The sequence below is a fragment of the Homo sapiens genome, chromosome 1, assembly GCF_000001405.40.
Source record: "Homo sapiens chromosome 1, GRCh38.p14 Primary Assembly".
Lineage (NCBI taxonomy): Eukaryota > Metazoa > Chordata > Mammalia > Primates > Hominidae > Homo > Homo sapiens.
The window spans coordinates 91,296,403-91,323,356 of record NC_000001.11 but is presented as its reverse complement, the minus strand read 5'-3'; the positions used below and the strand labels follow the sequence as shown (position 1 = coordinate 91,323,356).

Genomic DNA, 26,954 nt, shown 5'->3' with positions numbered 1-26,954 from the left:
AGAAGCAAAATGTATAAAGCAGGTTTTTAACTCTGTTATGTTCATTGATAAAACTGTGATGGTTTAAGGCAGTATGAAAAATAAATAAATTTGGAGAAAGGATGAGAGGAAATAAAAAATAGACTTCATTAAATGGACAACTACTGAAATGTTATAGGTTACATTGATAGCTGGCTGCAAGGAATTTCTAGATATACAGTTAAGGATAAATGAAAAGAAAACACTGAATACTTTGAACAAAGATCCAAATCGGATAACTATCAGGTACAGAAATTACATATGTTTTAAATAATTTTAAGAGGTTTTATTTAATTAAAATAAATAATAATAAATGTTTTGCCATGTGGTTTTATTTACAGATTTCCAATGGAAGGAAGAATTAAAACAAGAGAAATGAAAGTAAATTGGTAAAGATGATTCATACTTATGAAAGTTTTCTTTTTTTGGTTTTAAAACATTTTTAATTTGTTTTTCTTAATACAGAAAAGATTACATAAAAATGAGTCAGAATGTGGATGTGAAATTAATTTCTTACAACTCTCAGACTTTAAAATTGATGATTTGTGAATGCTTTTTCTTAGCAAACATTTGTTCAGAGTGTATTCTGTTGAGGCAAGGTGGACGGTTGAATGAAGACATGCTTCTTATGCTTCTCATTGTCAGGAGCTTTCAAGTTAGCTTGAGTGAGAGTAGTACATTTAAAAATAATGGACAGTATGAAAACCTGTGTAATAAATGTCTACTGAATGGTAGTGGCATTCTGGGAGAGACAAAGAGTAAAAGCAAAATCATGAGTAAAGGCGTGTATATGTGACAGTGGATGACTGTTCTGCCAAAAATGGGGAGTTTGTACAGAGACTAGTAATTGAAAGAGTAAATTAAGGTTACACTGTAACTTGTGACTTTTAGCAGTTTGCAGTCACAAATGCAATGATACTGTTTTCTGCTATACTGAGTGCTTGGCTTTCTGAGTATGTAGGTCTTAGTGTTATGTAATTTAAGGTGAAATGATCTTTTTCAATGTGGCTCAATAAAACCAATTAGCCAAAGAATTTCTTTTTCCTCCATAGCTAGAGGAGGCCATTCTTTCTTTGGGATTCTTCCTGACATCTCATTAAATTTTATCTTCCAAATACCTTTACGTCTATAAGACAGTCTTCTCATTGTTGTTTACAACTCATCAGGCAGATTTGTAGCTTGTACCACAGAAGTTAATGTTTATTTTCTTAGCTGTACTTCTATATTCAAATATTTATTTCTATAAATTCATATATCCTTAGAGATCATAGTAAACTTAAGAGATCATATAGCCCAATCCTCTCATTTTACAAACGATGTAAGTGATGCCCAGATAAGTTATGACTTCGCCAAGGTTATGTTGCTATCTAGAACTCTTGATTTTCTCATTTTTTCCCCCAGTATACTGTGTTGCATAAATTATTGAGTCAAATTAAATCAAGTATTTTTCCACATTCATTTTCTTGGGAACACTTTATTTGCACTTTCAGTGCTTCCATTAACTTTGCCTTAAATTGGGTAGTATATTCTTTTGATTGAAGCTGTCAAATTTTAAAGTTAATTATTATACTTTATAATTGTTTTTATACATATCATAATTTAGATTCCCATTATCATTTCCCGCCTTTGTGCATCTTATTTAAGCATAACCAAGAAGAGAGAATGTGTGTACGTGTGGGATGGAGGGGTCTTAATCCAAAATTTATAGTCTTTTGGTAGGTGATGATGGCTAATAGTTACCTTTTTCATGGCTTTGTCATATCCCTGTTACTTTGCTGAACTTCAAATCTGTTCTTCTCCAAGTAGATGTTAATCCTCTTAGTTTTAGGATTTTATCCTTCAAGTTTCTGGTTTCTTCCCTTTTTATTATTTTTATTTATTTATTTATTTATTTTGAGACAGAGTGTCACACTGTGGCCCAGGCTCAAGTGCAAGGGCATGATCTCCGCTCACTGCAACCTCTGCCTCCCGGGCTCAAGCGATTCTCCTGCCTCAGCCTCTGGAGTAGCTGTGATTACAGGAGCACACTATCACACCTGGCTAATTTTTGTATTTTTAGTAGAGATGGGGTTTCACCATGTTGGCCAGTCTTGTCCCAAACTCCTGACCTCAAAGGTGATCCACCTGCCTCGGCCTCCCAAAGTGCTGGGATTACAGGCGTGAGCCAGCGTGCCTGGCTCTGCCCTTTTAATTTAAGGCTATTTTTAAATTCTTCCTAGCTTTAATTCCTAGGTCTTCCCTCTTCAGCACTAGCTCTGTTTTCTTTAACTGGTATTTTTCAGTGAACTGACAGGGTATGATGTGGAGCCACCATACGAAGCCCTGGACTTCCCAACTCTGGATTCCCCTTTTACACACAAGAATAAACTGTTTGTGTGTAAACTGATATGGTCTGGTCATGAACGTAATTCTAACCGAATCAATACTTTATCTCATTTAATTCTTTTACTAACCCTGGGTTAGTCATAACTACCATGTAACTCTGCCCCTGTTAGTTGAGGTGGTAGAGCTGCCACCTCACCTGAGGCTGTGGCACTTCTGTTTTTACTGAGGACAAGCTCAGGGGTAAGATCATAGGACATCACTGCTTGCCTTATCTGGTGCAGAGAAACAGAGAGCCCTGCCATGGTTCTGTACCTACTAGCTTAAATCCCTGTCCTTCCTCCTATCCCTGTTTTATTACTGCTTCTTGAAATAAGATTTCTGACAGGGAAGTATGATGTTGAAAAGTGTCCTATTTATTATTAGAAGTATTGCTTTTTAATATAAATAAATATTACTTCAAAAGTCTTATTTTTACTCCAGCAATTTCTTACTCCACATTTGTGCATCTCTAGGTAGCTTAACAAGGAGTTTTATTTACCCAGCATTTAAAAGCACCCCATTTACATTTTTCCATCAGTTCCTTCTTTGATAGTATACTGTGTATCTTTGTAACTATTTCTTAATAGATGATATAAAATAATTTTCAGAAGCATATACCATAGCCAAAAAAAGTGAATAGTTTAAATTTCAGCTGTATACATCCATTCCAGGAAGTGAGTTGATTACTTCTTTCAATTTTCATGTATCTTGTGCTAAACGAAATCATGAAATATAACTATTCTGCCGTTTTTCTTTGTATAGCTGACTGTTTCGGTCTTATTGAGAGACCTCCTTCTACTGAGGAGTTTAGGAAGAAATTTGTTTTTTAAAAGAGATCCCCTTAAGAGAGTAATAATAAGTACAGTAATTTTAGTTAGAACCATCAGTGATTTGCATATCAATGCCTGATTAGGTAAGTTTATGGGCAAAACAGGTAGCAAAGAACCCGGGATATACTAGGCACATAGGCACTAGTGTCTTTTTTCCCCTTGAACAACTAACACCTCAAATTTAGTAGCCCAGCAGCTGCTGGTTTTGAATAACCAGCTAATATGCTACTGACCTTCATACACTGAATAGAATTATCAGCACCTAATACTATGCCTGGCACTTAATAAGCATTTAATAAAAATGTGTTGATTAAACAAATTGTATTATTTTTCTCTAATTCTTTGAAAAGAAATAGTAGAGCCAAAAGATAGATCTGTATTGGAGGAGAATATGAAAATAATTTGAGATAGTTGAGGTTAAAGTAACAGTCTAAGTGAAAGTCTCCTGTAATTTGTATCAATCTAGAGATTATAATGAAAGTCTGAGAAGAAATGAGATCTTTTAGAGAGAGATTGAGTGAATAAAGAAGAGCAATAAATAAATAAATAAATAAAGACAACTTTGAGGATTTGGGGAAAAAGGAATGAACTTTTATTATTGACCTGCAATAATAATTATGCAAGATAATCATGTAGTATTGCAGAAATTAAGGCAGAGAAAAGTTTTAAGAAGGAATACTTCAGTGAGTGATATCAAATACTGGGAGATAGATAACCCTTAAAAGGGAGTAACAATTTTTTTTCTTTCCCCCAGTCTTATTCAGGCTCAACTAGGATGCATTCCCATACAAGATTTTGCTTTGACACAAGATACCGCAAAGATTTTCAGACATGGCTCCCGAATTACAAGATGTATGTTACAGGATTAGTGGATTTTAAATATTTTTTCCAATAAACTGGTATATTAGATTTAATACTGGAAACTTTTTTTTTAGGGTTGTCAGATTTTGTAGCTGCTCAAGAAAAGAAGTTTGCTGTACTATTGAATAGTTTGATTTTAGCTAAATGTTTTAGGTGTAAACTTTGGGAAAACTCTCTGCATGTATCCAAACAACTGGAAAAAATTGGTAGGTACTGAATACAGGCAGGCAGTTTGGCCATGTCTGCAATTTATTTTGTATTCACTGTTAGTAAAATTATTCTGTGATGATTACAGACCTTCAAGGAAGGTATGTGTTTGTAGGCTTAAATAAGTGCTGTACTTTCGAAAATCTGATTTTCCTTTGCTCCTGCTTAAAGGATTCCATTTGAAATCAACTGAATGATACATGAGTACATGAGAAACCTAATAAAAATTAATGCTGTCATTTGAAAATTTTTTCTCATACCAAGAGGGAAATTTGGTTACAGTAATTAGGCAACTATGTGATGCCCTCTCTTCCACTTTTTTGATGAATATTTTGTTTTGATCTCAATTACAAGGTGGAGTTAGCAGTCCCAGCCATTCCTAATTCATTACAGAAAATTATGTCACCTCTTTATGTCTTAATTTTTTTTTTGTTTTCAATAACAGTAGGGTATTAATACTGATTTTCATAGAGATTCTGTAGACAAAAGATTGTGCCTGATTATTTTGTCTATAGGGACCTTGTGTAGTGTGTGCTATGAGACTGTAGGGAGTACCATTTACAAAGGATTTTCCTGTTTGGTACCTGTGACCTTGTGACCCTATTCTTTCTTAGATAGCTAGAATTCTAAAAAGAGAGTTACTATCTCATCACTGACAGCCTTGTTAATTTTACAATTTTGTATGCATCTTGGGGGTATCAACAAATTAAATAATGGATTTTTAGGGATGTTTTGTTATTTATTTGAACAAAGATTACCAACTGTTTATGAAGAAGACCTACCTTTTGTATCTGGAAATTTGAAATCAGTGGGGTGGCAGAGGGCTGACTAGGAAGTCATGGGAGCTGGGGTGAAGTGGGGATTGGCTGGTGAAAGTAAGGGGAGAGATTCCTGATGGAAAGGCTCACCTTCTTACAGAAGTCCTGGCAACCAAATACCACATCCATCCCACAAAGGCAAGAGTTCTCAATTGGAAAGGTGGTTCCATACAACATTTAGAAAATTTTGAAATTCGGCTAAGTGATTACTAGTAAATTTCATTATACTTGAAAAAGCCAATCTTTCTGGCTTTCTAGAGTATTGTCAATATGGGCATCCATTGCATTCTGTCCCTTCCAGATTGTTGAAACTAACCTGTTTTCACACACACTCATTACAGCTGAACAGAAAAAAGCAAATATTGCCCAGAAAAAAAAAATCATATAAAAGTGAGAGAATCTAAACAAAAAGTCAAATCCAAGTTGTTATTGGGCATCTTGAAAAAAATAATGCATACAAATTAATTTTAATGTTGGCTATAAATGAAAAAGTTAAAAGTCAATAAACATTTTGAGGGGAAATGGAAATGAACATTAAGGAATTATGAATACTAGAAGCTGAGTCTTAAGAAGAACTAAGAGAAATTCCCAAGAACAAGTAAATATATGAGTAAGGAAATAGGGTCATACCTTCACCAGTAATACATGTAATATATGTGCCTTAGACAAAGTAGTAATATTTTGGAATTTTATACTGTTCCGTGTCTTCTATTTGGGGATTTGGATAAATTCATTCATAAGCATATAAGAATTGTAAATTCTGCCTTCTGAAAGTATAAGGAAATAGGAAAGATCCAAAGAAGAAAATGAACTTGATTTTTTTTGTTGTTTGTTTGTTTGTTTTTGAGATGGAGTTTTGCTTTGTTGCCCAGGCTAGAGTACAATGGCACGATCTTGGCTCACCGCAACCTCCGCCTCTCGGGTTCAAGCGATTCTCCTGCCTCAGCCTCCTGAGTAGCTGGGATTACAGGCATGTGCCACCATGCCCGGCTAATTTTGTATTTTTAGTAGAGACGGGGTTTCTCCATGTTGGTCAGGTTGGTCTCGAACTCCCGACCTCAGGTGATCCGCCCGCCTTGGCCTCCTAAAGTGCTGGGATTACAGGTGTGAGCCACTGGGCCCAACCGAATTTGATGTATTTAAGGAATAGAATGAAAGCAAGTGTGACTGGAGAGTAGTCAGCAAGAGGAGAGTTAGAGGAAATTAGATTTGAGACAAAGGCTGTAGTCAGATTATATAGGTAAGGAAATTTGGCTCCAGTAAGGAAATTGCCACTTCATTCTAAATACAATGGAAAAGCATTGGAAGTTTTAGGCAGTAGATTAAAATAGTCTGGTTTAGTTACAGAAACATAGAACTGTATTTCTAAGACAGAAATGGTCAGAGAGCCATAGCTTCATAAAGCAGTATTCCCTCGCTTCATTCAAGCATGATCCTTGAATCATGTTGCCTTTCTTTCAAGCATGAGTACAAAAATACATATCTCTTGGTGATTGGACTATGGATGACGTATAGTAGAACTAAACATCCATCATGTGGACCAGAGTTTCTCTTTCTTTTATAAAGCAAATGCATATTTTATTTGTCTGAATAAATATGAATAATTGAATAATGTCACAAACCCAATAATCCAACTGAAAACTTTTTACAAAAACTTTAAGTTAGTTATTTGACTGGATCTTAAAATTTTTTTTTTTTACTAATTTAGTTGTTAAATATTTAAATATATGTTTTATTTAAAGTGCATTATTTTTAAGTTGTTGTTTGATTAATTTTCCACAGGTATAACATTGTCAAATGCAATCGTAAATGCTGGTTTGACTTCCTTTAAAAAAATAGAAGAGACAGATGCAAGGGAACTTGAATTGGTAGTTATATTCACTTATTCCTAATTCCATCTAAATTCTGAGGCCTACCTTTATTTCTATTAAAAGTTATTTTCCTTCTCATAGTTATAAGTATTTCAACTTACTTTTGGGTGATAAGCATTATTAAAGCTATTTATTCTAAAAAATATTTTACTAAAAGAATTTCAAGTGTTGTGGTAAGAATATAATGATGTAAATATTTTTAGATTTTAAACAGACATCCCCCCTTTGGAACCCAGATAAAAGAAACTGTGATGTATCTACCAAAATATGAACTTAAAGTGGAACAGGTAAATATTTTCTGTTTCTTAGATATTTTATTGTCTTTTCAGAAATAAAGCTACCTATAAATAGGCTTCAGCTGAGTATGAGAAGTAAGGTTATTTTTAACACTTTTTATACTTGTCCTTTTTTAAAGATTACAAGATATAGTGATACGACGGCAGAAATATTAGTGACTGTTATATTAAGAAATTTTGAACAGCTACAAACTAAAAGAACAGCATCGGATTCTCACTATGTTACCTTAATCATAGGTGACGCAGATAATCAAGTAGTTTATCTGCACAAGATTACGTAAGTGTGAAATTTCTGATGTTTGATCTTATTTCTAAGCATATACTGTAAAAGAAAAATTCTACTGAAAAAAAAATAACAAGATCATTGTGGGATCAACTAAATTACATTTTCCTGACACAATAATGGGATGGTTTCTCTATTTTTCTATTAAAGAAGATATTAACATTGGGTCTGTTGTTTTAAATTGTTATATTTAGTACTCAGATGAACAAAGTATAAAATCTATCACCATGATCTGAAACAAGTGAGTAGATTACCTCTAGGAGGTCTTTCTTATTTCACTGCTTTTCTCCAGTCATCCATGACCCTACTACTGTTTGGATGCAGTCTTTCTCCTACTGACCTCAAAATATACCTTCTACTTCCAAATTAAAATCTAACAAATTACTATAGCTCCATTGTAGGATCCAAGCAAACAAAGCAAATGTATAGAGGAGGTACCCTCCCTTATATCTAGTTCTGTAGCATGCCATTCTATAATTTTTACTTCAGCATTTTTCCAGGTACTATTATTTTCTCCCAGGATGTCATAAGCAATCTCTAAGGATATCAGTTGCAGCTATAACTAATATTATTTAGCACTTAGTAGGTTCCAAATATTGAATTATTTAATATTTGTATGAGACAGGTGCTGTCCGTATTCTGTAGAGGAGGAAATTGAGACAAAAAGAGTTTAATGAGTTTGATTTATGATTAACCAAACCTTAATCATGGTCATATAGCTAGTTAATAGCAAAGTCTAGATTTGAACCCAATCCAGAGCCTAGACTCCCAACCATATTACTGTACTTGTAAGTTCAGGAATGGCAGTGATTCTGAAATGGGAATCTCCTAATTGTGCCAGTATACTGGAAGATACCTTCCCAAAAAGTCGCATGCAAGGTTTCTGAAGGGACTGCAGTGACCAGGATATCCCTTTCACTGGTAACTGCTCTCCTGCAGCTAACCATGACCCACTTATAGAGAATATGCTGTTGTACAAATCTTTGTTCTCTGTGACTAATAAGTCTATGACTACATGAGACTAAAATAAGTTTAGTCATAAAAATGGTTGCTGGCTTGTGATGTTATTAGATACAAACCATTTTATATAAATTTAAAAATACTATTGAAGTTGTTCTCATAACGTATAGCCAGTTTAAAATGGTAGTGATTTAGGGGCAAGCTCATGTGTTATTGATACAAAGTATATATTCTTATTGGGACTAAAATGGTAAATGCAACTTGGAAACAGCTGTAATTAAAAAAATTAGGGATTGGATGGAGTGGCTCACACCTGTAATCTCAGCACTTTGAGAGGCTGAGGCAGGAGGATCACTTAAAGCCCAGAGTTTCAGACCAGCCTGGGCAACAAAGTGAGACCCTATTTCTACAAAAATAAATAAATAAATAATCTGAGCATAGTGCCAATGTGCCTGTGGTCCCAGCTACTCGGGAGACCGAGGCAGGAAGACTGCCTGAGCCTAGGAGTTTGTGGCTGCAGTGAGGTATGATTGTACCACTGCACTCCAGCCCAGGCAACAGAGTAAGATTCTGTCTCAAAGAAAATTAATTAATTTTTTAAAAATCATGGTCAAGAGAGTTCCATTGATACTTTATTCTCCCTCCTTAAAAGTTGGGGAAAGCAGTTTTCAGTAATTGATTTCAGTTTACTACTAGAGAGTATCTTTCTTAAGAACAATCAGCCCTTCAAGATTAATATGTATTTCATTCAGTGTTTGGATCACTATTTAAACTATACTATTTTTCAGGGATTCTGTTTTGCTAAAAGCTGGAAGTTGGGCTAAAAAGATTGCTGTGAAAAGAGCTCTTAAATCTGAAGATCTTAGCATAAATCTAATAAGTTCTGAATTTGGTAAGTTAATTGAAGTAATGAAGACATGAATATAAATAATATAATTGCATTTAAAAATTACATCCTTTATGCTGGTACAGAAAAACAGTATAAATGGTATTATGCAAAAATAATATATTTAGATAATATGAATAAACTTCAAAGGAAGTTTCATGTATTTAGATATGTAAAACATAACATGGACCAGATGACATAATTAAAAGTTTATCTTTTCATTTATAGATATTTTATTTTCCTAGATAGTTAAGTTGCAGTTATTGTTGGAAGATTTTTATTTTTATAATGATAAATATATAATTTTTTAGTTGTCATATTTTTTAACCTTTCAACATATTTTAACTTTCTGGACTTCTTAGCTCTAGAAGTTATAAAAATGTAAGAGAGATAAAAAGAAATAAGTGTTCTCATATGTGGATTTATATGACAAATAAACATTTGTGTACTTTTTTTTCATTTTCCAGTTGGGCTTGATATTCAGCAGAAACTTACAGTCTTTTACTTAGAACCCAAGAGGTTTGGAAATCAAATCACTATGCAAAGAAAATCTGAAACACAGATTTCCCATTCTAAACATTCAGACATATCTACAATAGCAGGACCTAATAAAGGTAAATAGCTGTATTAATTCCTATTTTATATTAAAGCAAAGATATGGCTAGGAAGGAGTATCAGTGTTATAGTACTGCAACACTCAGATTGAGGATACTCTGGAATAAGATATTTAAGCTTCATAGTAATTTCATTAATAGTATATAGTAGAGATTCTTCAAGTTAGTATTTGTCAAATTGGGGTAATGGTTGGGGGACAAATTTTTTTATTCATCTTTTGGTATATGTATTAGTCCATTTTCATGCTGCTGATAAAGACATACCTGAGACTGGGAAGAAAAAGAGGTTTAATTGGACTTACAGTTGCACATGGCTGGGGAGGCCTCAGAATCATGGCAGGAGGTGAAGGGCACATCTTGCATGGTGGTGGCGAGAGAAAAATGAGGAAGAAGCAAAAGCAGAAACCCCGATAAGCCCATCAGATCTCATGAGACTTACTCACTATCACAAGAACAGCGCAAAAAAGACCAGCCCCCATGATTTGGTTACCTCCCCCTGGGTCCCTCCCACAACACATGGGAATTCTGGGAGATACAATTCAAGTTGGGATTTTGGTGGGGACACAGCCAAACCATATCATTCCACCCCTAGCCCCTCCAAATCTCATGTCCTCACATTTCAAAACCAATCACACCTTCCCAACAGTCCCCCAAAGCCTTAACTCATTTCAGCATTAACCCAAAAGTCCACAGTTCAAAGTCTCATCTGAGACAAGGCAAGTCCCTTCTGCCTATGAGCCTGTAAAATCAAAAGCAAGCTAGTTACTTCCTAGATATAATGGGGGTACAGATATTGGGTAAATACAGTCATTCCAAATGGGAGAAATTGGCCAAAACAAAGGGCTTACAGGCCCCATGCATGTCTGAAATCCAGTGGAGCAGTCAAACTTTAAAGCTCCAAAATGATCTCCTTTGACTCCAGGTCTCACATCTAGGTCACATGGATGCAAGAGGTGAGTTCCCATGGTCTTGGGAAGATCCACCCCTGTGGCTTTGCAGGGCACAGCCTCCCTACTGGCTGCTTTCATGGGTTGGTGTTGAGTGTCTGCAGCTTTTCCAAGTGCACAGTTCAAGCTGTCGGTGGATCTACCATTCGGGGGTCTGGAGGATGGTGGCCCTCTTCTCACAGCTCCACTAGGCAGCACCCCACTAGAGACTCTGTGTGGGGGCTCTGACCCCACATTTCTCTTCTACATTGCCTTACCAGAGGTTCTCCATGAGGGCTTTGCTCCTGCAGCAAACTTTTGCCTGGGCATCCAGGCATTTCCATACATCTTCTGAAATCCAGGTGGAGGTTCCCAAACCTCGATTCTTGACTTCTGTGTACCCACAGGCTCAATACCATGTGGAAGCTGCCAAGGCTTGGGGCTTCCACAAGCCTTGAAGCCACAGCTGGAGCTGTATGTTGACCCCTTTCAGCCATGGCTGGAGCAGCTGGGACATAGGACACCAAATCCCTAGGCTGCACACAGCACAGGGACCTGGGCCCAGCCCATGAAAGCACTTTTTCCTCCTGGGCCTCCAGGCCTGTGATAGAAGGGGCTGCCGTAAACATCTGTGACATGGCCTGGAGACATTTTCCCCATGGTCTTGAGGTTTAACATTAGGCTTCTTGCTACTTATGCAAATTTCTGCAGCCAGCATGAATTTCTCCCCAGCAAATGGGTTTTTCTTTTCTATTGCATAGTCAGGCTGCAAATTTTCTGAACTTTTTTTTTTTTTTGAGATGGAGTCTCACTCTGTCACCCAGGCTGGAGTGCAGTGGCACGATCTCGGCTTGCTGCAACCTCTGCCTCCTGGGTTCAAGCAATTCTCCTGTCTCTGCCTCCTGAGTAGCTGGGACTACAGGCACCCACCAGCATGCCCGGCTAATTTTTGTATTTTTAGTAGAGACAGGGTTTCACCATATTGGTCAGGCTGGTCTCAAACTCCTGGTCTCAGGTGATCCACCTGCCTCGGCCTCCCGAAGTGCTGGGATAAATTTTCTGAACTTTTATGCCCTGTTCCCCTTTTACAACTGAATGCCTTTAAGAGTACCATATCACCTCTTGAATGCTTTGCTGCTTAGAAATTTTTTCCACCAGATGCCCTAAATCATCTCTCTCAAGTTAAAAGTTCCACAAATCTCTTGGGCAGGGGCAAAATGCCACCAGTCTCTTTGCTAAAACGTAACAAGAGTCACCTTTGCTCCAGTTCCCAACAAGTTCCTCATCTTCATCTGAGACCACCTCAACCTGGACCTTATTGTCCATATTGCTATCAGCATTTTGGGCAAAGCCATTCCACAATTCTCTAGGAAGTTCCAAACTTTCCTACATTTTCCTGTCTTCCTCTGAGCTCTCCAAACTGTTCCAACCTTTGCCTGTTACCCAGTTTCAAAGTCGCTTCCACATATTTGGGTATCTTTTCAGCAATGTCCCCACTCTACTGGTACCAATTTACTATATTAATCTGTTTTCACACTGCTGATAAAGACATAGCTGATACTGGGAAGGAAAAGAGGTTTAATTGTACTTAACAGTTTCACATGGCTGGGGAGGCCTCAGAATCACATGGTGGGAGTTAAAAGGCACTTCTTACATGGCGGCGGCAAGAGAAAAATGAGGAAGAAGCAAAAGCAGAAACCCTTGATAAACCCATCAGATCTCTTGAGACTTATTCACTATCAGGAGAATAGCAAGGGAAAGACCAGCCTCCATGATTCAATTACCTCCCCCTCAGTCCCTTCCACAACACGTGGGAATTCTGGGAGATACAATTCAAGTTGAGATTTTGGTGGGGACACAGCCAAACCATGTCAGTATACGTTTTTCCTTTTCCATACTTATGCCATTGTTATAGCCATTGTCAGGGGAGATCAAGTGATGTACAAGAATCAACAGATTTGTTAAGGCAAATCAGAGTGAAAATGAATTATTATTTTTTATTATGGGAATTTTTCAAACATATACAAAAGTAGATAGAAGTGTAAGATGAATTTTCATTTACTCATTATCCACTTTAAACAGTGATCAATTCATGGCTGCTACTGTTTCATCTATACCTCTCTAGTTTTTTTTTCCATCCATATTTTGAAGAAAATTTTAGATATCGTATTATTTCCTCTGTAAATGTTTCAATATATCTCTATCTAAATGGTAAAGATTTTTTTAAACTACATTACTTTTACACATAAAAACTAATATTATCCAATATTAAGTCAGGGTTCAAATTGTCTCATAAATATTGTAGATGTATTATCATCTTCATACCATCTAGATATACCAGATTAACTCCTGAGTCCTTTTGAGTATTTCTAGTAGATTTGACAGCTTCTTTGCTATGCAGAGTAATATGCTGTTCTAGGCTTATCTCGTATATCTCCAGCTTCAGTCCCAAACATAATAAACCCTTTGTCCAAGAAGCCTTTTTTTTTAAATGATAGTAGTTTTCAGAGATCACAATCTGTGTCCTAGAGGAGCTCGTTGCCATTGAGTGATTATGGTCTCTTAGATTTTTTTCATGCATGGAGGTAAGTATTATGTGATTATTTTTTGTCTTAAAAGACATCATGAATTCATACTTATCAAATTCAGAGATGCAGAATTTATCCTTAAACTCAATTATCTATATATGCCTTCTATCATGCTGAGAAACTTGGTTCTCAATGGCTCAAAAATAATAGAGTATCACTAATTTTCTATCCTTTATATACATTACACACACAATAAACAGTCTGAGAATAGCAGCATCAGACTATCACTCTTAATATGATCATAAAATTTGAGAATTATTTTGCAGATATTTTTGTTCTTAGGCTGTATCTTACTATCTTAGACTGTATCTCAATAGTAAAATTAATGTGTTTAAAAATCACTTGGAATAGATCCTCTGTATGTGGCCATGCCACTCTGGATACATATACTTTCATTTGTTTCATTTTATTTTATATTTTTAGGACTAGCTTTCAAAAATTAATTTTGTTTTATAATAATGTAAAACATTTACATGGCTCTGTAACTAAATCTACAAAACAAGCACTAAATATATAAACACTTGCAGCATAGGCAGTCTACCTTACAGCTCTTTCTTATTCAGTTGGTCCTGTTTTCACCCTTTTGACCCCATAAGGGGAGCAGTTAACAGACACTGGGGAATTTGAGAGCAGCAGCATGATTAGACATGCTCTCTGAATAGTATTGGCAATTATGATAAATAGTAACTGCAGTGAGTAGTGACAGGAAGAACGCATTTAGAACTATTCTGTGAGCTCATGAGCCTTCATCTTCTTCCTTTTGAAGAACACAAAAGAGCTTCCATTTCTGGGTAGGATATAGTTTTGTGGTAGGCCAGTGCTTCCACAGCTACAACTATGAAAACCTTCATACCTTATAAAATTATAATTTTTAGGGCATCAGAGATTTGTGGAAGCACTAAGGACTAAAGGAACTAAATTCTTAATAAAAAGGCTAGGTAGACCATGCCCTGTAAAGGGGTTTACATGATCAGCCACTCACCATGTTTGCCTGACAGAGGGAAAGGGAAACTTCTTCTGGTGAAATGTAATCTGGAAACCACAGACACAGTGTCTGTCATATGATAAAAAAATTGTGAGGCCCACAAAGAGATAAGACCATATGACTGATAATCAACTGTGTCAAGAAACAAGCCAGACATGGTGACACACACTGGTAGTCCTAGATATTCAGGAGGCTAAGGCAGGAGGATTTCTTGAGCCCAGGAGTTTGAGGCTGTAGTGCACTATGATCATGTCTGTGAATTTACCACTGCACTCCAGCCTGGACCACATAGCAAGACCACATCTCTTTAAAAAAAGTATAAAATAATTATGAATATTTTAAAGAAAATATAGAAAAAATAGGTAAATGCATGAAAAGATGGAAAGTTTTACCAGATAATTAAAATCTATAAAGAGATTTAAATGGACTTTCTAGAATTAAAAATGCGATATCTGAAATGAAGAGCTAGTTGGGTAGGCTTAACATTAGATTCAATATAACCAAATATAGGATTTGTGGGCTTTGAGACATATCAGTAGAAAATATCTAAATTGAAGCCCAGAGATAAGAGAATGGAAAGAACACAAAGGAATATAATACTCAAAAAAAGGTCTAACATATGCATAATTAAAGTCCCAGAAGCAGAGTAGAGAGAGAATGGGACAAAATTAACATTCAAAGAGACAATGGCAGAGTCCATTTCAAAATAATAAAAGACACCAACCAACAGATTTAGAATTTTGGTAAACCCCAAACAGAGGCAAATACAGGGAAAACCACACCTGGACATATTGTAGCAAAACTGCTGAAAATGTTAAAATTAGACACATCATTTATGCATTACCTTCAAAATAACAACAGTGAAACTGACAGCTAACTTCTCAACAATAATGATGGAAAACAGAAGACAATGGAATGTCATATTCAAAATGCTACCAACCTAGGTTTCTGCCCAGTGGAAAATATCCTTCATGATGAAAGTGAAAAAAGAAAGAAGAGAAAGAAGAGAAAGAAAGAGGAAGAAAGAGAAAGAAAATAACTAAATGACTTTATCACTACTAGTATATTTATCAGCCTGAATTAAAATGAATACTAAGGCCAGGCTTAGTGGCTCATGCCTATAATCCCAGCACTTTGGGAGGCCAAGATGGGCAGATCGCTTGAGCCCAGGAGTTCAAGACCAGCCTAGGCAATGTGGTGAAACCCTGTCTCTACAAAAAGTTAAAAAAAATTAGTGAGTGTGGTGATGTGCACCAGTGGTCCCAGCTACTTGGGAGGCTGAGGTGGGAGGATCATTTGACCCTGGGAAGTTGAGGCTGCAGTGAGCTGAGATCACACTACTGCACTCCAGCCTGGGTAACAGAGCGAGACCCTGTCTCAAAATAAAAAATAAAATAAAATAAATACTAAAGGGATTTCCTTAGAGGAAAATGATCACAGATGAAAACATGGACATGCTGGGGGGAATGAAGAAGAGTAGAAAGGATAACTATATGACTAAATATAAGTAGACTATGTAAAACAGTAATTGAAATGACTTACAGAGTTTAAAATATATGTGGAAATAAAATGCAAAGCAAAAAAATACAAGCTTGCATCTCAAGAGTATACCATATCAAACATAATAATGTAACAAGAGAAAAACAGAAATCAGCGATACATAGGATGTAAATATACAACAGAGAAAAATCAACAAAGCTGAGATTTGGTTCTTAGAAAAGATAAATAAAATTAAGAACCCTCTATGAATGAAGACTGATCAAGAGAAAGAAAGAAAACACAAGTAACAATATCAAGAATGAAGAAGAGGATATTACATTGTATATCAAAAAGTTACTGAAGATATTCAAAAGCACAAAAACAAGACATTAACAATTTTATAATGATAAATTTGACATAGTTTGGGTTAAAATGAGAATATTTATTGAGAAGCAAAGCTTACCAAAACTGACAGAAGAAAATAAAATCTGAGTAGTCTGATACTAGTAATGAAATTGAAGCAATTGTTAGTAAAAATTTTTCCACAAAGAAAACTTGAGGCATGGATGACTTCACTGTTAATTTTTCTTAATTAAGAAGAAATAATATCAAACTTACCTAAACTTTTCCAGAGAATAGAAAAAAAGAGAATATTTTCTAATGTTTTGTTTTTTTAATGAGGCCAGTGTGTCAAAACCTGACAAGGACATTAAAAAGAAAGGGAAATTATTTAGCAACATATCTCATGAACATAGATCCAAAAGTCTTTAATGAAATATTCACAAGCTGAATTTGGCCATATTTTTTAAAAGCACAATTAAGTATGGTTTATTGCATGTATGCAGGAGAGGCTTACCATTCAAAAGTAGATCAATATAATTCACTATGTTAACAGAGAAAAAGGAGAAAATGATTTGATCCTCTTGATAGGTGTCAAAAAAGTTTGACAAAATTCAGTACTCATTTATGATTTAAAAAAACTCTTAGCAAACTAGAAATAGAAGGGAACTTCTTTTGTTTTGTTTTGTTTTTGTTTTTGAGACAGAGTTTCACCCTTGTTGCCCAGGCTAGAGTGCAATGGTGCAATCTCGGCTCACCATAATCTCCACCTCCCAGGTTCAAGCTATTCTCCTGTCTCAGCCTCCCGAGTGCTGGGATTACAGGCATGCACCACCACGCCCAGCTAATTTTGTATTTTTAGTAGAGATGGGATTTCTCCGTGTTGGTCAGGCTGGTCTTGAACTCCCAACCTCAGGTAATCTGCCTGCCTTGGCCTCCCAAAGTGCTGGGATTACAGGGTGAGCCACCACGCCTGGCCTGGAACTTCTTAAATATAAAGAATATCTACAAAAACTATAGCAAATGTCATACTCGATAGTAAAATATTAAACACTTTCCTATTGAGTTGGAGAATGTTACAAGAATGCTCTGTGTTATTATTTCTATTCGACATTGTGCTGGAAGTCTTAGTAATATAATAATACTTTAAAAAAGCAAAAAGGGGGCTGGGTGCAGTGGCTCATACCTATAATCCCAGAACTTTGGGAGGCCGAGGTAGGAGGATCACTTGAGTCCAGGAGTTCAAGACAAGCCTGGGCAACAGTGTGAAACTCCATCTTTACAAAAATAGAAAAAAGTAGCCAGGTGTGGTGGTGCTTGCCTGTAGACCCAGCTCCTCTGGAGGCTGAAATGGGAAGATCACTTGAGTCCAGGTGTTCGAAGTTACAGTGAGCTATGATTACACCACTCCACTCCAGCCTGGGCAACAGAGTGAGACCTTGTCTCAAAAAAAAGAAAAAAAAAGAAATAAATAAATTGTCATTATTTCTAAGCAACATGATTATTTATAGAGAAAATCCAAAAGACTCTATAGACATGCTGTTGGAATTAATATGTTTAGAAATATCACTGAATGCAGTCAATATAAAAAACAATTGTACAATAGCATCAAAAAGAATAAAATACTTAGGAATAAATTGAACAAAAAAGTGTAAGAAGTGAACACTGAAAACTACAAAACACCATTGAAATAAATTAAAGAAGTTCTAAATAAATTGAAAAATATTTTATGTTCGTGGATTGAAAGTCAATATTGTTAAGATGGCAGCACTTCTCATATTAATTCATAAATTCAACAAAGTCTGTATCAAAATCCTAGCTGTAGTTTTTGCAGAAATTCACAGGCTGATCCTAAAATTCACGTGGAAATACAAGGGACCCAGAATAGCTAAGCCAACCTTGAAAAGAAAAAGAAGGAAGGTAGAGGACTCACAATTCTTGGTTTCAAAACTTGTTACAAAGCTGCAGTGATTAAGACAAGGTGGTGCTGTCATAATAATAGACATAAAGATCAATGGAATACAACTGAGAGTGTAGAAATAAACCTTTACCTCTCTGCCAGTTTATTTTTGACAAGGATGCCAAAACAATTTGATGGTAAAAGAATTTGAAAATAATTTTTCAAGTAATAGGGCTGGGCAACTGCATAGACACATGCAAAAGGATGAATTTGGACTCCTACCTCATACCATATACAAAAATTAACTCAAAATGAATCAAAGACCTAAAGGTAAAACTTAAAACTATAAAACTCGCCAGGTGCAGTGGCTAACACCAGTAATCCCAGCACTTTGGGAGGCTGAGGTGGGTGGATCACCTGAGGTCAAGAGTTCAAGACCAGCTTGGCCAACATAGTGAAACTCTGTCTCTACTAAAAATACAAAAAAAAAAAAAAAAATTAGCCGGCTGTGGTGATGGGCCCCTGTAATCCCAGCTACTCAGGAGGGTGAGGCAAGAGAATCGCTTGAACCCAGGAGGCGGAGGTTGCAGTGAGCCAAGATCGCTCCATTGCACTCCAGCCTGGGCAACAAGAGCGAAACTCTGTCTCAAAAACAAACAAACAAACAAAAACCTATAAAACTCTTAAAAGAAAACATAGGTGTATATCTTCATTCATTACCTTGTACAAGGCAACAGTTTCTTAGGTATGACATATAAAGCTCAAGTAACCAAAGAAAAAATAGATGAATTGGACTTAAGATGAAAACTTTTGTGCTTCAGAGGACACTATTCAGAAAGTGAAAAGACAACCCACGGAATGGGAGAAAATACTTGCAAATCATATATATCTGATAACTAACTTGTATTGAGTATATATAAAGAAATCTTACACTTCAACAGTAAAAAGACAAATAGCCCAATTAAAACTAGTCAAGGGGCCGGGCACAGTGGCTCACATCTGTAATCCCAACACTTTGGGAGGCCGAGGCGGGTAGATCACTTGAGGTCAGGAGTTCAAGACCACCCTGGCCAATATGGTGAAACCCCATCTCTACTAAAAATACAAAAATTAGCCAGGCGTGTTGGTGCACGCCTGTAATCCCACCTACTCAGGATTGAGTGGAAGGTGAGGTGGAAGAATTGCTTGAACTCAGGAGGTAGAGGTTGCAGTGAGCCAAGATCATGCCACTGCACTCCAACCTGGGTGACAGAGTGAGACTTTGTCTCAAAAATAAAATAAAAATAAAACTAGTCAAGGGATCTGCATAGACATTTTCCAAAGAAGTGATACAAATGGTCAACACACATATGAAAAGATGCTCTACATTGTTAGTCAATGCAGAAATGCAAACCAAAACCACAGTAAGATACCACTTCCCACTCAGTAGGGTGGCTTTAGTCAAAATGATGGACAATAACATGTGTTGATAAGGATATGGAGAAACTGGAACCCTCATACACTGCTAGTGGGAATGTAAAATTGTGCACTGCTTTGAAAAACAGTTGGTATTTCCTCAAGAAATTTAACATAGAATTAACATATGATACAGCAATTGTACTCCTAGGTGTATATCCAAAAGAATTGAAAACATATTCATACAAAAACTTAGACATGAATGTATATAGCTGCATTATTTATAATAGCCCAAACTGGAAACAACCCAAATATCTATCAACTGATGAATAGATAAGCAAAATGTGGTATATCCATACAATGGAATATTATTCAGCCAAAAAGAAAAACTACTGATGCATGCTACAGCACGGATGAGCCTTGAAAACATGCTAGATAGAAGCTAGTCACAGAAGACCAGATATTGTATGGTTCAATTTATATGAAGTGTCTAGAACAGGTAAATCTATAGAGACATAAAGTAGATTAGTGGTTGTCAGGGGTTGAGGGCAGGAATAAATGAGGAATGACTAATAATAGTTATATGGTGGGTTTTTTGTATGTATGGTGATGACAGTGTTCTGGAATTATATGATGACTGTTGCACAACCTTGGGAATATACTAAAAACCCACTGAATTGTACAGTTTAAAAATGTGAATGGTATGGTATGAATTATAATTTAATTAAGAAATTTAAAAGTCCATTGTATTCCTGTATACCAGCAAAAAGGATAAATTATAATTTTATTTTATTTTATTTTAATTTTAAATTATACTTTTAGGGTACATGTGCACAACGTGCGGGTTTGTTACATATGTATACATGTGCCATGTTGGTGTGCTGCACCCATTAACTCATCATTTAACATTAGGTATATCTCCTAATGCTATCCCTTCCCCCTCCCCCCCACCCCACAACAGGCCCCAGAGTGTGATGTTCCACTTCCTGTGTCTATGTGTTCTCATTGTTCAATTCCACCTATGAGTAAGAACATGCAGTGTTTGGTTTTTTGTCCTTGCGATAGTTTGCTGAGAATGATGGTTTCCAGCGTCATCCATGTCCCTACAAAGGACATGAACTCATCATTTTTTATAGCTGCATAGTATTCCCTGGTGTATATGTGCCACATTGTCTTAATCCAGTCTATCATTGTTGGACATTTGGGTTGGTTCCAAGTCTTTGCTATTGTGAATAGGGCCACAATAAACATACGTGTGCATGTGTCTTTATAGCAGCATGTTTTATAATCCTTTGGATATATACCCAATAATGGGATTGTTGGGTCAAATGGTATTTCTAGTTCTAGATCCCTGAGGAATCGCCACACTGACTTCCACAATGGTTGAACTAGTTTACAGTCCCACCAACAGCGTAAAAGTGTTCCTATTTCTCCACATCCTCTCCAGCACCTGTTGTTTCCTGACTTTTTAATGATCACCATTCTAACTGGTGTGAGATGGTATCTCATTGTGGTTTTGATTTGCATTTCTCTGATGGCCAATCATGATGAGCATTTTCTCATGTGTCTTTTGGCTGCATAAATGTCTTCTTTTGAGAAGTGTCTGTTCATATCCTTCACGAACCACTTTTTGATGGGGTTGTTTGATATTTTCTTGTAAATTTGTTTGAGTTCATTGTAGATTCTGGATATTAGCCCTTTGTCAGATGAGTAGATTGCAAAAATTTTCTCCCATTCTGTAGGCTGCCTATTCACTCTGATGGTAGTTTCTTTTGCTGTACAGAAGCTCTTTAATTAGATCCCATTTGTCAAGTTTGGCTTTTGTTGCCATTGCTTTTAATGTTTTAGACATGAAGTCCTTGCCCATGCCTATGTCCTGAATGGTATTGCCTAGGTTTTCTTCTAGGGTTTTTATGGTTTTAGGTCTAACATTTAAGTCTTTAATGCATCTTGAATTAATTTTTGTATAAGGTGTAAGGAAGGGATCCAGTTTCAGCTTTCTATATATGGCTAGCCAGTTTTCCCAGCACCATTTATTAAATAGGGAATCCTTTCCCCATTTCTTGTTTTTCTCAGGTTTGTCAAAGATCAGATGGTTGTAGATATGTGGCATTATTTCTGAGGGCTCTGTTCTGTTCCATTGGTCTATATCTCTGTTTTGGTACCAGTATCATGCTGTTTTGGTTACTGTAGCCTTGTAGTATAGTTTGAAGTCAGGTAGTGTGATGCCTCCAGCTTTGTTCTTTTGGCATAGAATTGACTTGGCAATGCGGGCTCTTTTTCGGTTCCATGTGAACTTTAAAGTAGTTTTTTCCAATTCTGTGAAGAAAGTCATTTGTAGCTTGATGGGGATGGCATTGTATCTATAAATTACCTTGGGCAGTATGGCCATTTTCATGATATTGATTCTTCCTACCCATGAGCATGGAATGTTCTTCCATTTGTTTGTATCTTCTTTTATTTCATTGAGCAGTGGTTTGTAGTTCTCCTTGAAGAGGTCCTTCACATCCCTTGTAAGTTGGATTCCTAGGTATTTTATTCTCTTTGAAGCAATTGTGAATGGGAGTTCACTCATGATTTGGCTCTGTTTGTCTGTTATTGGTGTATAAGAATGCTTGTGATTTTTGCACATTGATTTTGTATCCTGAGACTTTGCTGAGGTTGCCTATCAGCTTAAAGAGATTTTGGGCTGAGATGATGGGGTTTTCTAGATATACAATCATGTCATCTGCAAACAGGGACAATTTGACTTCCTCTTTTCCTAATCGAATACTCTTTATTTCCTTCTCCTGCCTGATTGCCCTGGCCAGAACTTCCAACACTGTGTTGAATAGGAGTGGTGAGAGAGGGCATCCTTGTCTTGTGCCAGTTTTCAAAGGGAATGCTTCCAGTTTTTGTCCATTCAGTATGATATTGGCTGTGGGTTTGTCATAGATAGCTCTTATTACTTTGAGATACGTCCCATCAATAACTAATTTATTGAGAGTTTTTAGCATGAAGGGTTGTTGAATTTTGTCAAAGGCCTTTTCTGCATCTATTGAGATAATCGTGTGGTTTTTGTTGTTGATTCTGTTTATATGCTGGATTAAGTTTATTGATTTGCATATGTTGAACTAGCCTTGCATCCCAGGGATGAAGCCCACTTGATCATGGTGGATAAGCTTTTTGATGTGCTGCTAGATTTAGTTTGCCAATATTTTATTGAGGATTTTTGCATTGGTGTTCATCAGGGATATTGGTCTAAAATTCTCTTTTTTTGTTGTGTCTCTGCCAGGCTTTGGTATCAGGATGATGCTGGCCTCATAAAATGAGTTAGGGAGGATTCCCTCTTTTTCTATTGATTGGAATAGTTTCAGAAGGAATGGTACCAGCTCCTCCTTGTACCTCTGCTAGAATTCAGTTGTGAATCCATCTGGTCCTGGACTTTTTTTGGTTGGTAAGCTATTAATTATTGCCTCAATTTCTGAGCCTGTTATTGGTCTATTCAGAGATTCAGCTTCTTCCTGGTTTAGTCTTGGGAGGGTGTATGTGTCCAGAAATTTATCCATTTCTTCTAGATTTTCTAGTTTATTTGCATAGAGGTGTTTATAGTATTCTCTGATGGTAGTTTGTATTTCTGTGGGATCGGTGGTGATATCCCCTTTATCATTTTTTATTGTGTCTATTTGATTCTTCTCTCTTTTCTTCTTTATTAGTCTTGCTAGCGGTCTATCAATTTTGTTATCTTTCAAAAAACCAGCTCCTGGATTCATTGATTTTTTTGAAGGGTTTTTTGTGTCTCTATTTCCTTCAGTTCTGCTCTGATCTTAGTTATTTCTTGACTTCTGCTAGCTTTTGAATGTGTTTGCTCTTACTTCTCTAGTTCTTTTAATTCTGATGTTAGGGTGTCAATTTTAGATCTTTCCTGCTTTTTCTTGTGGGCATTTAGTGCTATAAATTTCCCTCTACACACTGCTTTGAATGTGTCCCAGAGATTCTGGTATGTTGTGTCTTTGTTCTCATTGGTTTCAAAGAACATCTTTATTTCTGCCTTCATTTCGTTATGTACCCAGTAGTCATTCAGGAGCAGGATGTTCAGTTTCCATGTAGTTGAGCGGTTTTGAGTGAATTTCTTAATCCTGAGTTCTAGTTTGATTGCACTGTGGTCTGAGAGACAGTTTGTTATAATTTCTGTTCTTTTACATTTGCTGAGGAGAGCTTTACTTCCAACTATGTGGTCAATTTTGGAATAGGTGTGGTGTGGTGCTGACAAGAATGTATATTCTGTTGATTTGGGGTGGAGAGTTCTGTAGATGTCTATTAGGTCCGGTTGGTGCAGAGCTGAGTTCAGTTCCTGGATATCCTTTTTAACGTTCTGTCTTGTTGATCTGTCTAATGTTGACAGTGGGGTGTGAAAGTCTCCCATTATTATTGTGTGGGAGTCTAAGTCTCTTTGTAGGTCTCTAAGGACTTGCTTTATGAATCTGGGTGCTCCTGTATTGGGTGCATATATATTTAGGATAGTTAGCTCTTCTTGTTGAATTGATCCCTTTACCATTATAATGGCCTTTGTGTCTTTTGATCTTTGTTGGTTTAAAGTCTGTTTTATCAGAGACTAGGATTGCAACCCCTGCCTTTTTTTGTTTTCCATTTGCTTGGTAGATCTTCCTCCATCCCTTTATTTTGAGCCTATATGTGTCTCTGCACGTGAGATGGGTTTCCTGAATACAGCACACTGATGGGTCTTAACTCTTTCTCCAGTTTGCCAGTCTGTGTCTTTTAATTGGAGCATTTAGCCCATTTACAGTTAAGGTTAATATTGTTATGTGTGAATTTGATCCTGTCATTATGATGTTAGCTGGTTATTTTGCTCATTAGTGGATGCAGTTTCTTCCTAGCCTCGATGGTCTTTACAATTTGGCATGTTTTTGCAGTGGCTGGTACCAGTTGTTCCTTTCCATGTTTATTGCTTCCTTCAGGAGCTCTTTTAGGGCAGGCCTGGTGGTGACAAAAATCTCTCAGCATTTGCTTGTCTGTAAAGGATTTTACTTCTCCTTCACTTATGAAGCTTAGTTTGGCTGGATATGAAATTCTGGGTTGAAAATTCTTTTCTTTAAGAATGTTGAATATTTGCCCCCACTCTCTTCTGGTTTGTAGAGTTTCTGCCAAGAGATCAGCTGTTAGTCTGATGGATTTCCCTTTGTGGGTAACCCAACCTTTCTCTCTGGCTGCTCTTAACATTTTTTCCTTCATTTCAACTTTGGTGAATTTGACAACTTTGTGTCTTGGAGTTGCTCTTCTTGAGGAGTATCTTTGTGGCATTCTTTGTATTTCCTGAATTTGAATGTGGCCTGCCTTGCTAGATTGGGGAAGTTCTCCTGGATAATATCCTGCAGAGCGTTTTCCAACTTGGTTCCATTCTCCCTGTGACTTTCAGGTACACCAATCAGATGTAGACTTGGTCTTTTCACATAGTCCCATATTTCTTGGAGGCTTTGTTTGTTTCTTTTTATTCTTTTTTCTCTAAACTTCTCTTCTCGCTTCATTTCATGAATTTGATCTTCCATCCCTGATACCCTTTCTTCCAGTTCATCGGATCAGCTACTGAGGCTTGTGCATTCGTCAGGTACTTCTTGTGCTGTGGTTTTCAGCTCCATCAGGTCCTTTAAGGACTTCTCTGCATTGGTTATTCTAGTTAGCTGTTCATCTAATTTTTTTTCAAGGTTTTTAACTTCTTTGCCATGGGTTCAAACTTCCTCCTTTAGCTTGGAGTAGTTGGATCATCTGAAGCCTTCTCTCAACTCATCAAAGTCATTCTCCGTCCAGCTTTGTTCCGTTGCTGGTGAGGAGCTGCGTTCCTTTGGAGGAGGAGAGGCGCTCTGAATTTTAGAGTTTCCAGTTTTTCTGCTCTGTTTTTTCCCCATCTTTGTGGTCTTATCTACCTTTGGTCTTTGATGATGGTGACGAACAGATGGGGTTTTGGTGTGGATGTCCTTTCTGTTTGTTAGTTTTCCTTCTAACAGTCAGGACCCTCAGCTGCAGGTCTGTTGGAGTTTGCTGGAGGTCCACTCCAGACCCTGTTTTCCTGGGTATCAGCAGCGGAGGCTGCAGAACAGCAGATATTGGTGAACAGCAAATGTTGCTGCCTGATCGTTCCTCTGGAAGTTTTGTCTCAGAGGGGTACCCGGCTGTGTGAGTTGTCAGTCTGCCCCTACTGGGGGACGCCTCCCAGTTAGCCTACTTGGGGGTAAGGGACCCACTTGAGGAGGCAGTCTGCCTGTTCTCAGATCTCCAGCTGCATGCTGGGAGAACCACTACTCTCTTCAAAGCTGTCAGACAGGGACATTTAAGTCTGCAGATGTTTCTGCTGCCTTTTGTTTGGCTATGCCCTGCCCGTAGAGGTGGAGTCTGCAGAGGCAGGCAGGCCTCCTTGAGCTGTGGTGGGCTCCACCCAGTTCAAGCTTCCCGGCTGCTTTGTTTACCTACTCAAGCGTCGGCAATGGCGGGTGCCCCTCCCCCGGACTCGCTGCCACCTTGCAGTTTGATCTCAGACTGCTGTGCTAGCAATGAGCGAGGCTCTGTGGCTGTAGGACCCTCCGAGCCAGGCGCGTGATATAATCTCCTGGTGTGCCGTTTGCTAAGACCATTAGAAAAGTGCAGTATTAGGGTGGGAGTGACCCGATTTTCCAGGTGCCGTCTGTCACCCCTTTCTTTGACTAGGAAAGGGAATTCCCTGACCCCTTGTGCTTCCCGGGTGAGGCGATGCCTCGCCCTGCTTTGGCTCACACTTGGTGCACTGCACCCACTGTCCTGCACCCACTGTCTGACATTCCCCAGTGAGATGAACCCGGTACCTCAGTTAGAAATGCAGAAATCACCTGTCTTCTGCATCGCTCACGCTGGGAGCTGTAGACTGGGGCTGTTCCTATTTGGCCATCTTGGCTCCTCCCCTCAAAATTATAATTCTAAAACAGCATTTACAGTAGTATAAAATATCAACCTTGTAATAGAATAACAAAAGATGCTCAAGACCACTACATGAAAACTAAAAATCATTGTTTAAGGGAAATTAGGGAAAACATACTTAATTAAGATACCGTTTCAAGAACTGAAAAGTTTAATATTATAAAGATGTCAGTTCTCCCCAAATTAATCTTTATATTCAGTGTCATCCCAATTTCAGCAGGGTTTTGTTGTTGTTGTCATTTTTTTTTCTGAAATAACCAGCTAATTATAAAATTCATATGAAAATTCAAAAGGACAGGGTAGTCAGGGCAAACTTGAAGAAAAACATATTGGGCAACCTACTTTACTAGATATCAAGACCTGTTATTAAACAGTAGATAATAAGAATG

The 26,954-nt window shown here is 37.2% G+C and overlaps 1 protein-coding gene across 20 annotated transcripts in view; it reads left to right on the top strand.

Moving 5' to 3' along the window:
• Positions 1-26,954, top strand: part of HFM1 (helicase for meiosis 1) — a 147,242-nt gene that overhangs the window by 84,651 nt on the left and 35,637 nt on the right. For 12 of the 20 annotated variants that reach the window (XM_011540852.3, XM_011540857.2, XM_017000490.2 and 9 more), the window contains 9 exons: positions 158-264; positions 360-407; positions 3,967-4,064; positions 4,148-4,279; positions 6,881-6,966; positions 7,173-7,256; positions 7,385-7,542; positions 9,297-9,400; positions 9,862-10,008. In XM_011540852.3, coding sequence (XP_011539154.1) covers positions 158-264; positions 360-407; positions 3,967-4,064; positions 4,148-4,279; positions 6,881-6,966; positions 7,173-7,256; positions 7,385-7,542; positions 9,297-9,400; positions 9,862-10,008 — 964 coding nt within the window. Of the gene's footprint in view, positions 1-157; positions 265-359; positions 408-3,966; positions 4,065-4,147; positions 4,280-6,880; positions 6,967-7,172; positions 7,257-7,384; positions 7,543-9,296; positions 9,401-9,861; positions 10,009-26,954 lie in introns of those variants that run through there. The other 8 variants (XM_017000491.2, XM_047447938.1, NR_165455.1 and 5 more) reach the window with 7 other exon arrangements.